The sequence below is a fragment of the Homo sapiens genome, chromosome 15, assembly GCF_000001405.40.
Source record: "Homo sapiens chromosome 15, GRCh38.p14 Primary Assembly".
NCBI classification, from domain to species: Eukaryota; Metazoa; Chordata; class Mammalia; order Primates; family Hominidae; genus Homo; species Homo sapiens.
Window position 1 is genome coordinate 51,518,050 of NC_000015.10, and position 15,311 is coordinate 51,533,360.

The window sequence follows — 15,311 nt, forward strand, 5'->3', positions numbered from 1 at the left end:
GGGCCAGGGTGGTGGCTCACACCTGTAATTCCAGCACTTTGACAGGCCAAGGCAGGTGGATCTCCTGAGGTTAGGAGTTAAGAGACCAGCCTGGCCAACATGGTGAAACCCCGTCTCTACTAAAAATATAAAAATTAGTGGGGAGTGATGGAGGGTGCCTGTAATCTCAGCTATTCAGGAGGCTGAGGCAGGAAAATCACCTGAACCTGGGAGGCGGAGGTTGCAGTGAGCCGAGATTGCACCACTGCACTCCAGCCTGGGTGACAGGGCGAGACTCCGTCCAAAAAGGAAAAAAAAAGAAATGGTGTTAACAGTCTGCTGGGTTTGTTCATTGAAATCTGGACTCAACTGTGGCCTATAGTTGGTGAGGTGAAAACAGTGAAATTTTTGTAGCACACAACAAAGCTTTGCTACTCAAAGTGTAGTCAATGGACCAGCAGTGATGGGAAGCTTTTTATGAATGCATACTTACTCCCTGAAACTAAGACATCTGTATTTTAATGAGACTTCCATAGGATTCATGCGTATATTAAAGTTTAAGAAGGACTGCTGTAGATCACTGGTTCTCAATCTTGGCTGCACACTGAATCACCTGGAGAGCTTTAACAATCAATGATGCTTAGGTCCCACCCACAGAGATTGAGGTGCTTCCAATGTGCAGCCAAGGTTGAGATCCCCTCACAAGAATAGTTATGTATTCCAGCTAAGGATTTGCTTTCCCTGCCCACAACTCTCTGCCAGCACTATAATTAACAGACTTTCTGAACACTACACTACAGAATTCCAGAATTCTACAGAATCTCACTCAACATCACCTCCAACCAAGGAACTCATTTTATAGTGGAAGATACTACTGGAAATTAGAATGAAGTAAAGCATTCGCCCAGGGTGCAAAATTTAAAAGAGTGCTCAAAAATTCAATAATCAAGAAAAATAATATTTTAATGCAATATTTTAAAATCAAAATTAATGTAAACAATCCATAATGAGCAAAATATCAAACATTTAAATATAGAACCCAAGAGTATCTTAATGAGCCACACTGATACCATTAATGTGCATCAAAACTGCACATATGTGTTTTGATGTATATTTTTTTTTAATGGTTAACATTCTTCTTTTCTTTTTTCAGGGTCTTGCTCTATTGGCCTCCAACTCCTGGGCTCAAGTGGTCCTCCTATCTCAGCCTCCCAAGTAACTAGGATTACAGGTGCATGCAACCATGCCTGACAAATTTTTTAATTTTTTTGTAGAGACAGGGTCTCACTATGTTGCTCAGGCTAGTCTCAAACTCTTGGCCTCAAGCAATCCTCCCACCTCAGCCTCCCAAAGCACTGGGATTACAGGCATAAACCACCACACCTGGCTGTAGTTAACATTTTTCCAGAACATCAAAGTAGTTAAAAAATGCTAAAAAATTGAAAAGTAGGTGCATTAAAACTCACATATTACTTTAAGTTTAAATTTATTTATACCAGAAATTGGACTAATTATAGTTTTATTTTTCTGGCTTTAATGGAAACAAACACATTAATAATATTTTCAAAATCTCCTTCTTTGCTTCTCTGGTTTTGACAAAGTCTCTTGTTTTTTTTTTTTTTTTTTTTTTTGAGATGGAGTTTCACTCTTGCTGCCCAGGCTGAAATGCAATGGCATGGTCTTGGCTCATTGCAACCTGCGCCTCCCGAGTTCAAGTGATTCTCCTGTCTTAGCCTCCCGAGTAGCTGGGACTACAGGTGCACGCCACCACACCTGGCTAATTTTTGTATTTTTAGTAGAGACAGGGTTTCACCATGTTGGCCAGGCTGGTCTTGAACTCCTGACCTCACGTGATCCACCTGCCTCGGCCTCCCAAAATGCTAGGATTACAGGGTTCACCGCACCCAGCCCTGAACTACGTTTTAAGGGCATCATTCTAACTCCTATGTTGAGAACAGACTTTGAGAAAGCAGAGCAAAATCATAAAGAAAGCAATACAAATTTTTTCACAATCTAACCTCTAACTTCCTATCCAGTCTCAGCTATTTCCAACAGCCATTCACATTCTATGCTATGGCTGTAATAAACTACTTACAGTTTACTATGCACATTCTTCTACCTCTGTGCATTGTTAGTTGCTGTTATCTCTACCTGAAATATCCTTTTCCTCCTTCACTTTCATGTCTTACCCATTCAGTAAGTCTTATCTCAGATATCTATCTCCACCAGAAATTCTTTCCTAACCATCACAATCTGGATTAAATGTTGCTTCTAACTATAAGAAAAGCCATCTTAACTGACAGCATTGGACAGAGAGAGGACAAATCACTCAGCAAGGTCAGTTAACCCAGAGAATCATTTTTAAAATAATATGTATACTTTAAACATTTTGTTTTATTTTAAACATAAACGTATACAAATAACTGATATTTTGGTGTTGAGTAAGACCCTGGAGTATGGGCTTGCTAATGGGAATTACAGGTCTTTCTTGCGTATGCCACCCCTGTAAGGCCCTGGCTGTATTTTTCAGTTCTTTAAATGGGAATAGGCTGACACGGTGGCTCACACCTCTAATCCCAGCACTTTGGGGGGCCGAGCTGGGTGGATCACCTGAGGTCAAAAGTTTGAGACCAGCCTGGCCAACATGGTGAAACCCTGTATCTACTAAAAATACAAAAATTAGTTGGGCGTGGCAGTGCGCACCTGTAATCCCAGCTATTCAGGAAGCTGAAGCAGGAGTATCGTTTGAACCTGGGAGGCAGAGGTTGCAGTGAGCTGAGATCGCGCCACTGCACTCCAGCCTGGATGACAGAGCAAGATTCAGACTCAAAATAAATAAATAAATAAATACATAAATACATAAATGGGAGTAAAAACATAAAGACACCTACAAAGCAATTCGAGTGCAGTTTTTCTTAAACCATTTCCTCCTGAATCTTTTACAGTTGTTTTGACCATGCCTAATTAGTGATTTTTAGCAAAATTGCTTCCAAAGCACTTATTTTTATAAAAACATTCACGTTTTTTATACTCACATTTCATCAATTTATATAATATTTAATTAAGTTAAGAATGACACTAATATGTACAACTTGACATATACAAGGTTGAAAATAAACACAGCTGGCTCTTGAGTGACAGCCGTAGTTGTAAGAGTTTGGTCTCTAGAGCTAGGCTGCTTGGGTTCAAATCCTGGTCCTACCATTGCTAGCTGACTAAACTGGGACAAGTAATTAAGTTTCTCTATGCTTCAGTGTCCTTACCTCTAAAGTATGGATAGTAATATTACATTTTTCTTAAGGTTACCAGGAAGGTTAAGTGAGTTAATATATATAAAACATTTAGAAGACAGCCTGACATACAATAATCACTAGATAAAAGTTTGCTAGTAGTAGTAGTAGTAGTAGTAGTAGTAGTAGTAGTAGTAGTAGTAGTGGTAGTGGTAGTAGTAGTAGTAGTAGCAGCATTTTTTTCAGGTTAAATAACTTTCCCAGCTGTTATTATTGTTAAGGTTACAAGTCAACTTGTGGAATCAACAAAGCCTGGTATACTATTCCCTATGAGCATCCATCCTATATTTTATAGAAGGAATGGACAGCATCAATGAATCCAATGAGCTGGCTTAAGTGGAGGCCAATTAAATGAATTTCACATCCTGAAATCAGCCTTTTCTTCTAATTTACCACTTATTACATACTATATGTACATATTTATATGACTCTATAGATACAAGATCCTTGAAAGTAGGGACTACTTCTATTCATTTTAACACTCTTAGCACCTGGTACAATATGCACATTTATTCTTCCATGTACTATAAGGTTATGCACAGTGAGTCCTCAATAAAAATTAAAGATTGAGTAAATAAGTTACTGAGTGAAAACAAATTACACTTTAGATCATTCCTACTTTAAAAGCTTGTTTTTACTAATAGCAGCACACACTATACCACCCTATCTTTCATCATGACTTCTCCTTTATTTATTTGTAGAATACCTTAGTAAGTACTCACTAAATACCTGAATGAATGGATCTCACCAATCTAGCATCTCACCAATCTAGATATTCAAAAGCTTATTTTTTAGGCACCAAAACAACTGTATCTTTGATACTTTAAATGGAATAAAAAAAACTTAATCCCTGTCTTCATAAATAGCCTGCTAAACATAAATCTCTTCTTGATGACTGACAGTCATATTTATGAACATTAACTATTACTAATGCCTTTAGAGATCTAATGACTTCAAGTACTGTCTTTGTAATAATAAATCCCAAATGTGCACTGGTACCTAATGTGGAACATTAGGAGTATCTCCAATCTAAACCAAACTTAGGGGCTGGGCGCAGTGGTGCACGCCTGTAATCCCAGCACTTGGGAGGCCGAGGCGGCTGGCTCACTTGAGGTCAGCAGTTCAAGACCAGCCTGGCCAATATGGTGAAACCCCTAGCTACTAAAAATACAAAAATTAGCTGGGCATGGTGGCAGACGCCTGTAGTCCCAGCTACTCAGGAGGCTGAGGCACAAGAATCACTTGAACCTAGGAGGCAGCGGTTGCAGTGAGCTGATATCATGCCACTGCACTCCAGCCTGGGCTGATAGAGCAAGACTCTGTCTCAAAAAAATAAAAACATAAAATAAATAAATAAACAAACAAGCCAAACTTAGGAATCTAAAACCAAGGTCACCTCACATTCAACATGTCCCAAATTTAACTCATTGTAAATACCTCAAAACTATCTTGCCATAGCTACTGGAACAACTATCACACTTGGAATCCTCTGTTTTCATATCCATATTCAAGCAGCTACTAAGCTCTGCTCTTCTCCTTTCCTAGACTATGAAATCCCACTTTAGATCAGGTTTGTTTTCCCACATGCTTAGTTGGCCTCAACAGACTCCCTGCTATCTCCATGCTTCCAGTACCTACCAATTCTACTCTACCCTGCAAGTTAATCACTTTATTTCCCTTCCTGTGCTTCCTAAATCTACCCCTCTACCTACAGAACAATATTTATAGCTTTCAAGTATCTGTTACAAAATTTTTAAAAAGCTAGCCTTTACTTGTCATCTACTAAAAATCTCATTTAAGGAATAGGAGAGCATGTGACAAATTCTTGCTACATTTTGCCTCACAATTAGTAGAAGAAGTAAGTAGGAGAACTGCTATTGTATTAAGAAAATCAAAACGATGAGCAGAAATAATGGAAATGTGACAGAAAGTAGTCATGTCATCTTAAGAGTTTAAGACTGAAAATAAGAGCAAGACTCTATAGTCTATATTTTAGAAAGGTTAAAAAATCCCAGAATGCCTTATAGCATGGGGGTCTCAAAGTCAAAATGGCTCAAGGAAGTCTGGAGGCTCAAGAGACTTTGAAAGTTCCTGACTATGCAACTACAAATATAACTGATGAGAAAAGAAAGTTGATCAGAGTAGTGGGTTAAATAGTGTCCTCCCAAAATTCATGTCCACCCAGCATCTCGGAATGTAACCTTGTTTGAACGTAGGGTCTTGCAGACATAACTAGTTTAAAAAAAGGTCACACTGGATTACAGTAGGTGCAAAATCTAATGACTTCTGTCCTTACAAAAAAAGGATACGCAGAGACACTCAGATGGACGAAGGCCATGAGAAGACAGTGATGCAGCTACAAGCCAAAGAACACCAAGGACTGCCAGGAGCAATCTAGGAAGAGGCAAGGAAGGATCCTCCCCTTGAATATCAGAAAGAGCATGGCCTTGCCAACACCTTGAATTTGAACTAAATGTATATACACCAAAGAACAGTGCTGAAAACTATGTGAAGCAAAAACTTATAGAAGTAAAAGGAGAAACAGACAAATTCACAATATAGTTGGAGACTGCAATACCTCGCTCTCAAGACTTGATAGAATGATTAGGGAGAAAATCAGTAAAGATACAGAAGAACTCAACAACACCATCAATCAAAACAGGATTAATTAACATTCATAGAACACTCTACCCAATAACAACAAAATACACATTCTTTTAAGTGCTTAGTGAGTGGAACATGTACTAAAATAGACCAGGTCCTGGGCCATGAAACAAACTTCAACAAACTAAAAAGGACTGAAATCATACGGTACATTTTTCTACCATGACGGAATCAAACTAGAAATCAGTAACAGGACGCTTGGAAGCTAAATCTTACACTTCTAAGTAATCGAGGGTCGAAGAGAAATTCTCAAAGGAAATCAAAACATATGAGGAAGTTCTCCTCTAGGTTTGTTAATTTTCTTGATTCCTCAACTTGATAAAGAGTATCTACAAATAACCCAACAGCTGGAGGTAGGAATAGAGGAAGATGGCAGAATAGAGGGCTCCCCCAATCGTCCCCCAAGCAAGAACACCAATTTAACCACTATACGAAAAAAAGCACCTTCATAAGAACCAAAAATCAGGTAAGCATTCACAGTACCCAGTTTTAACTTCATTATCACTGAAAGAAGCACTGAAGAGGTAGGAAACACACACTTGAATCACCAACACCACTCTTCTCCCACACCCTGGCAGCAGCAGCGTGGTGCTGAGAGAGTTTCTGTGCACTGGGGAAAGGAAGAGCAAGCAACTGTGAGCACTGAAGTCAGTGCTGCCTTGTTATATAGCAGAAAGAAAAACCAGACCAAACTCAGCTGACGCTCACCCATGGAGGGAGCCCTACCCAGAGGGGAATCGCTGATCCTATCTGTCTGAGCTTGATTCCCCAAAAGCCTTGCCACCACAAGGCTCAGGTTCTCTGGGGCCTTAAATAAACTTGAAAGGCAATCTAGGCCACAAGGTCTGCAACTCCTAGATGAGTCCTAGGGCTGAACTGGGCCAAAGACAGTGGGCTGGGGAGGCATGCAACCTACTGAGACACCAGGCGGGATGGCTAAAAAAGTGCTGGCATCATCCCTTCCCTAACCCCAGGCTGTACAACTCACGGCTCCAAAGGAGACTCCTTCCTTCTGCTTGAAGAGAGGCGACAGAAGAGTGGGGAGGATTTTGTTTTGCATCTTGGATACCAGCTCAGCTACAGCAGGATAAGACACCAGTCAGAGTCATGAGGCTCCCTTTCCAGGCCCTATTTCCCACACGACATTTGTAGACACACCCTGGGCCAGAAAGGAATCCACTGCCATGAGGGGAAAGACCCCTGGCAGGATTCATCACCTGCTAACTGAAGAGCCTCTGGGCCCTGAATAACCAGCAGCAATATCCAGGTACTGTGCCAGGGGTCTTGGATGAGACCCTGAGACTGGCTGGCTTGAGGTGAGACTCGGCACATTCCCAGCTATGGTAGCTACAGGGCAAGACTCCTGCTAGAGAAAAGGAGGGGCAATGTGCTCGCTTCGACAGCACATATATTAAAATTGGAGAGAAGCAGAGGCAAAAGTAAAGGGAACTTTATCTTGCATCTTAGGTACCAGCTTGGCCACAAGGGAGTAGAGCACCAAGCAGGCTCTTGGAGTCCCCAGTTCTAGGACCTGGCTCTTACAGCATTTCTGGATCTTCTGTGGGCCAGAAGGGAGCCCAATGCCCTGAAATGGTGAGTCTCAGACTAGGCAGCATTTACAACAAGCTAACCAAAGAGCTCCTGATCCTTAAGAAAACATTGGTAGTAGTCTGGAAGTACTCCCTGTAGGCCTGAAGTCCTGGTGGCCACAGGGTGAAGCTCGTCTGCCTTTGGAAAGGAGAGAGAAGGGTAGGAGGGACTGTGTCTTGTGGTTTGAGTACCAGCTCGGCCACAGTACAATAGAACACCAGGTAGATTTCTAAGATTATTGACTCTGCTCCCTACCTCCCAGATGGTACTTCTAGACCAGCCCAGTGTATGAGGGAACTTGTCACCCTAAAGGGAAGGACACAGGCCCGGCTGACTTTGCTACCTGCAGACTGCAGGAGCCCCAGGGCTTTGAGAGAACATAGGTGGTAGCTGGGGAGTGGTTACAGCAGGCTTTGGGCAAGAACCAGTGCTGTGCTGGCTTCAGGTGTGACCCAGCACAGTCCTAGAGGTGATGGCCACAGGGGTGCTTGTGACACTCCACTCCCATCTCTAGATGGCTCAGAAAAGAGAGAGAGAAAGAGAGAGGGAGGGGGAAGGAGAGAGAGGGAGAGAGAGGGGGTGGGAGAGAGAGAGAAAGAAGGGGGGTGGGTGGGGGGAGAGAGAGAGGGAGAGAGAGAATGGGAGTTTGTTAGGAATAAAGTAAAAGAAGAGAACAAGAGTCTCTGCCTGGTAATCCAGAGAATTCTTCCAGATCTTGTCCAAGACCATCAAGGCAGTACCTCGAAGAGTCTGCAAGAACCACAGCATTAATGGGCTTGGGGTCCCCCCAAAGCAGATACAGCTTAGATCACAAAACCCAAGTCCTTCTAAATATCTGGAAAGCCTTCCCAAGGACAGATACAAGTAAGCTCAGACTGTGAAGATTACAACAAATACCTAACTCCTCAATGTCCATGCACCAAAGAACATCTACAACTATCAAGACAATTCAGGAAAACATGACCTCACCAAATCAACCAAATAAGGTACCAGAGACCAATCCTGGAGAAACAGAGATATGTGACCTCCAGACAGAGAATTCAAAATAGCTGTTTTGAGGAAACTCAAAGAAATTCAAGATAACACAGACAACAAATTCAGAATTCTATCAGATAAATTTAACAAGAAATTTAAATAATTAAAAACAATCAAGCAGAAATTCTGGAGCTAAACAATGCAACTAGCATACTGAAAAATGCATCAGAGTCTTTTAATAGCAGAATTGATGAAGCAGAAGAAATAATTTATGAGTTTGAAAACACACAGAGGAGACAAAAGAAAAATGAATAAAAAACAACGAAGCACATCTACAGGATCCAGAAAATAACCTCAAAAGGGCAAATCTAAGAGTCACTGACCTTAAAGAGGAGGTAAAGAAAGAGGTAGGGGTGGAAAGTTTATTCAAAGGGATAGTAACAGGGAAATTCCCAAGACTACAGAAAGACATCAATATCCGAGTACAAGAAGGCTATAGAACGCCAAGCAGACTTAACTCAAAGAAGACTACCTCGAGGCATTTAATAATCAAACTCCCAAAAGTCAAGGATAAAGAAAGGATCCCAACAGCATCAAGAGAAAAGAAACAAATAACATACAGTGGAGCTCCAATACGTCTGGCGGCAGAATTTCAGTGGAAACCTTATAGGCCAGGAGAAAGGCATGACATATTTGAAGTGCTGAAAAGAAAAAAAAATTTACCCTAGAAGAGTGTATCTAGTAAAAATATCCTTCAAACATGAAGGATAACTAAAAACTTTTTCAGACAGACAAAAACTGAGGGATTTCATCAACACCAGACGTGTCATACAAGAAATGTTACAGGAGTTCTTAAATCAGAAAAAAGAGGACATTAATGAGCAATAAGAAGTCATCTGGGCCAGGCGTGGTGGCTCATGCCTGTAATCCTAGCACTTTGGGAGGCCGAGGAGGGCAGATTGCCTGAGTTCAGGAGTTCAAGAACAGCCTGGGCAACACGGTGAAACCCTGTCTCTACTAAAATACAAAAAATTAGCTGGGCGTGGCAGTGTGCGAGTGAGCTACTCGGGAGGCTGAGGCAGGATAATTGCTTGCACCCAGGAGGCAGAGGTTGCAGTGAGCCGAGATGGTGCCACTGCACTCCACCCTGGGTGAAAGAGCGAGATTCTGCCTCCAAAAAAAAAAAAAAGAAGTCATCTGAAGGTACAAAACTCACTGGTAATAGTAAGTACACAGAAAAACACAGAATATTACACTGTAACTGTGGTGTGTAAATTGATCTTAAGTAGAAAGACTAAATGATGAATCAATCAAAAATAATAATTACAACTTTTCAAGATACAGATGGTACAAAAAGATACAAATAGTAACAACAAAAAGTTGTAGCAGGACAAAGTTAAGGAGTAGAGCCTTTATTAGTTTTCTTTTTGCTTGTTTATTTATGCAAACAGTGTTAAGTCATAATTAGCTTAAAATAATGGGTTGTAAGGTAATATTTGCAAGCTTCATGGTAACCTCAAATTAGAAAACATACAGTGAATACACCAAAAATAAAAAGCAAAAAACTAAATCACACCACCAGCAAAAGTCAACTTCACTAAAAGAAACACAGGAAGGAAATAAAGAAGGAAGACCACAAAACAACCAGAAACAAATAACAAAATGGCAGGAGTAAGTCCTTACTTACTAATTACTTGGACTAAATGGACTAAATTCTCCAATCAAAAGACATATAGTGGCTGAATGGGTAAACAAAATTCAATAATCTGTGGCCTGCAAAAAACACACTTCACACATAAAGACACACACAGGCTGAAAATAAAGAGGTGGGAAAAGATATTCCATGCCAATGGAAACCAAAAAAGAGCAGGAATAGCTATACTTATATCAGACAGATATACTGATATCAGTATCATTATTTTCTGATACTATGTATCAGACAAAATAGTTTTCAAGACAAAAACTGTAAGAAGAGACAAAGAAGGTCACTATATAATGCTGAAGGGGTCAATTCAGCAAGAGAATATAACAATTTTAAATGTATATGCACCCAACACTGGGGCACCCAGATATATCAAGCAAATATTAGAGTTACAGAAAGAGATAGACCCCAATAAAATCATAGCTTGAGACTTCGACATCACTCAGAATTGGACATATCTTCTAGACAGAAAATCAACAAAGAAACATCAGACTTAATCTGTACTATCAAAAACAATAGATATTTACAGAACATTTCATCCAACAGCTACAGAATATACATTCTTTTCCTCAGCACATGGATCATTCTCGAGGACAGACCATACGTTAGGTCACAAAACAAGTCTTAAAACATTTTAAGAAATGAAATAATATCAAGCATCTTCTCTGACCACATTGGAATAAAACTAGAAATCAATAACAAGGAATTTTGGAAACTATACGAACATATGGAAATTAAACAATATGCTCCTGAATGACAAGTGAGTCAATGAAGAAATTAAAAAGAAAATTGAAAAATTTCTTGAAACAAATGATAATGAAAACATGACATACCAAAATCTATGGGATACTGCAAAAGCAGTACTAAAAGAGGGAAGTTTATAGCTGTAAGTGCCTACATCAAAAAACAAGGAAGACTTCAAATAAACAACCTAACGATGACTCTTAAAGAACTAGAAAAGCAAGAGCATACCAAACCCAAAATTGGTAAAGGAAAAGAAATAATAAAGATCAGAGCATAAATTAAATTGAAACAAAGAAAATCATACAAAGATTAATAAAACAAAAAGTTAATTTTTTGAAAAGATAAAACAAAATTGACAAGTTTTTTCCCAGACTAAGAAAAAGAAAGAAAAGACCCAAATAAATAAAATCAGAGATGAAAAAAGGGATACTACAACTGATGCCAAAGAAATTGAAAGGATCAACAGTGGCTACTATGATCAACTATATGCCAATAAATTGCAAAATCTACAAGAAATGGACAAATTCTTAGACACATACAACCTATCAAGACTAAACCACAAAAGAAGTCCAAAACCTGAATAGATCAGTAAAACAAGTAACAAGATCAAAGCCATAATAAATAGTCTCTAAGTAAAGAAAAGCCCAGGACCCAATGGTTTTGCTGCTGAATGCTGCCAAACATATAAAAAGGAACGAATACCAATCCCACTAAAATTATTCTGAAAAATAGAGAAGGAAGGAATACTTTCAAACTCATTCTATGAGGCCGTATTACCTTGACACCAAAACCAAACAAAGACACATCAAAAAAAGAACACTACAGGTCAATAACTCTGATGAATATTGATGCAAAAATCCTAAACAAAACACTACCAAGTAAATTCAACAATATGATTAAAATGATTAAAAGATCATTTATCATAACAGGGACACAAGGATGGTTCAACACATACAAATCAATCAATGTGATACATTTCATCAACAGAATGAAGGACAACAGAATGAAGGACAAAAATTTTTTAGCATCAATTAATGCTAAAAAAGCATGATAAAATTCAACAGCCCTTCATGATGAAAACTCTAAAAAAAGTGGGTATAGAAGGAACATACCTTCTATACCCTAGTATCATGCCGAATGGGGAAAAACTGAAAGCCTTTCCTCTAAGATCTAGAACACAATAAGGATGCTCACTTTCACCACTGTTATTCAACGTAGTACGGAAAGTGCCAGCTCAGGCAATCAGACAAAAGAAAGATATAAAAGGCATCCAAATTGGAAAGGAAGAAGTCAAATTATCCTTGTTGGCAGAAAGCATGATCTTACATCTGGAAACACCTAAAGACTCCACCAAAAACCATTAGAATTGATAAATTCAGTAAAGTTCCAGGATATCAATCAACATACAAATACCAGTAGCATTTCTATAGGCCAACAGCAAAAAATCTGAAAAAGAAATTTTGAAAAAGTAATCTCAGCTGGGCACAGTGGCTCACCCCTGTAATCCCAGCACTTTGGGAGGCTGAGGCGAGCAGATCACGAGGTCAGGAGATCGAGACCATCCTGGCTAACACAATGAAACCCCATCTCTACTAAAAAAAAAAAAAAAAAATTAGCCGGGCATGGTGGCACATGCCTGTAGTCCCAGCTACTCTGGAGGCTGAGGCAGAAGAATCACTTGAACCTGGGAGGCAGCGGTTGCAGTGAGCTGAGATCACACCACTGCACTCCAGCCTGGGTGACAGAGACTCCGTCTCAAAAACAAACAAGCAAACAAAAAGTAATCTCATTTACAATAGCCATACATAATATTAAGAACCTAGGAATTCATGAAAGAAGTGAAAGATCTCTATAATGAAAACTGTAAAACACTGATGAAAGAAATTGAAGAGGACAAAAAAAATGGAAAGATATTCCATGCTCATGGATTGGAAGAACTGATATTGTTAAAATGTCCACACTACCCCAAGCAATCTACAGATTCAATGCAATCCCTATAAAAACACCACTGACATTCTTTATAGAAATTTTTTAAAGATTTAAAATTCATATGGAACCACAAAAGACCCAGAATAGCCAAAGCTATCCTAAGCAAAAAGAACAAAACTGGAAAAATCATATTATCTGACTTCAAATAATACTGCAGAGTTACAGTAATCAAAACAGCATGGTACTGGCATAAAAACACACACAGAGAACAATGGAACAGAAAAGAGAACCCAGACACAAATCCACACACCTACAGTGAACTCATTTTTGACAAAGGTGCCAAGAATATACAATGGAGAAAAGACAGTCTCTTCAATAAATGGTGCCAGGAAAACTGGATATCCATATGCAGAAGAATAAAACCAGACCCCTATCATTAACTGCATACAAAAATCAAATCAAAATGGATTAAAGATTTAAATCTAAGACCTCAAACTATGAAACTACTACAAGATAACATTGGGGAAACTTTCCAGGACATTGGTCTCAGCAAACATTTCCTGAGTAATATATGACAAGGACAGGAAACCAAAGCAAAAATGCACAAATGGGATCACATCAAGTTAAAAAGCATAGGATACAATCAGCAAGGTGAAGAGACAACCCACAGAATGAGAGAAAATATCTTCAAACTACTCATCTGAAACGGGATTAATAACCAGAATATATAAGAAGCTCAAACAACTCTACAGGAAAAAATCTAGTAATCTGATCAAAAAATGGGCAAAACATTTGAACAGATATTTCTTAAAAGAAGACATACAAATGGCAAACAGACATATGAAAAGGTGCCCAATATCACAGATCATCAGAGAAATGCAAATCAAAACTACAATAAGATATCATCTCACCCCAGTTAAAATGGCTTATATCCAAAAGACAGGCAATAACAAATGTTGGCATAGATGTGGAGAAAAGGGAACCCTCATATGCTATTGGTGGGAATGTAAATTAGTACAACCATGATAGAGAACAGTATGGAGGTTGCTCACAAAGCTAAAATAGACCTACCATACAATCCAGCAATTCCACTGCTGGGCACATACCCAAAAGAACGAAAATTGGTATACTGAAGAGGTATCTGCACTCCCATGTTTGTTGCAGCTCTGTTCAAAACAACCAAGATTTGGAGGCAACCTAAGTATCCATCAACAGATGAATGGATGAAGAAAAAAAAAATGTGGTACTTACATACGACAGAGTACTACTTGGCCAAAAAAAAAAATGAGATTCCGTCATTTTGCAGCAACAAGGATGGAACTGGAGGTCGTTATTTTAAGTGAAATAAGCCAGGCACAGAAATACAAGCGTTGCATGTCCTCACTTATTTATGGGAGCTAAAAATCAAAACAACTGGACCCATAGAGATAGAGTAGAAGGGTGATTACCAGAGGCTAGGAGGGGTCGTAAGGGATTGGCAGGGAGGTAGGGATGGTTAATGTGTACAAAAAAATAGTTAGAATTAATAAGACCTAGTATTTGATAGCACAACAGGGTGACTATAGTCAATAATTTAATTGCTCATTTAAAAATAACTAGAAGAGTGTAATTAGATCATTTGTAACACAAAGGATAAATGTATGCGGTGATAGATACCCCATTTTCCATTATTTGATTACTAAGAATTGCATGCCTATATCAAAACATTTCATGTACCCCACAAATATATACATCTACTATGTACCCACAAAAATTTTAAAAAAATTTTTTAAACCTGCAACTAACATTATATGTAATGATCAAAGACTGAATGCTTTTCCTCCAAAAATGGGAAGAAGGCAAGAACATCCAATCTCACTTCTTATTCAACATGGAGTTGGAAGTTTTAGTCACTGCAACAAAATAAGAAAAATAAAAGCCATACAGATTAGAAAGGAAGAGATAAAATTGTTCCCATTTATAATGAGATGATTATCTACATGGAAAAGTCCAAGAAATCTACCAAAAACACTCCTACACCTAATATATGCATTCAGCAATGTTACAGGATATAAGATAAACATACAAAATTCAATTGTATTTGTATATTCAATTGTATTTGTATATTCTGGCCATAACTACATGGACACCAACATTAAAAAGACAGCACCCTTTACAGTCAGTAGAATAAATGAAATACTTATGTATAAACCTAACAAAACATTCATAGGACATGCATGCTGAAGACCACAGGAGAGGGAGATTGGGGACACTATTGAAAGTTGTTTACTGTATATATTTAGAGATGGGGGGGTCTCACTATGTTGCCCAGGCTGGTCTTGAACTCATGGGGTCAAGCAATCTTCCCATCTCATTCCCAAAGTGCTTGGATTACAGGTGTGAGTCACCGTGCCTGGCTACATTATATTTTGAGTACTATATTATTATTTGAAGGTAGA

General features: G+C 38.9%; 1 protein-coding gene across 22 annotated transcripts in view; it reads right to left on the reverse strand.

Moving 5' to 3' along the window:
• The window catches only part of DMXL2 (Dmx like 2), a 174,981-nt gene that overhangs the window by 70,259 nt on the left and 89,411 nt on the right, over window positions 1–15,311 (reverse strand). The window lies entirely within an intron of this gene.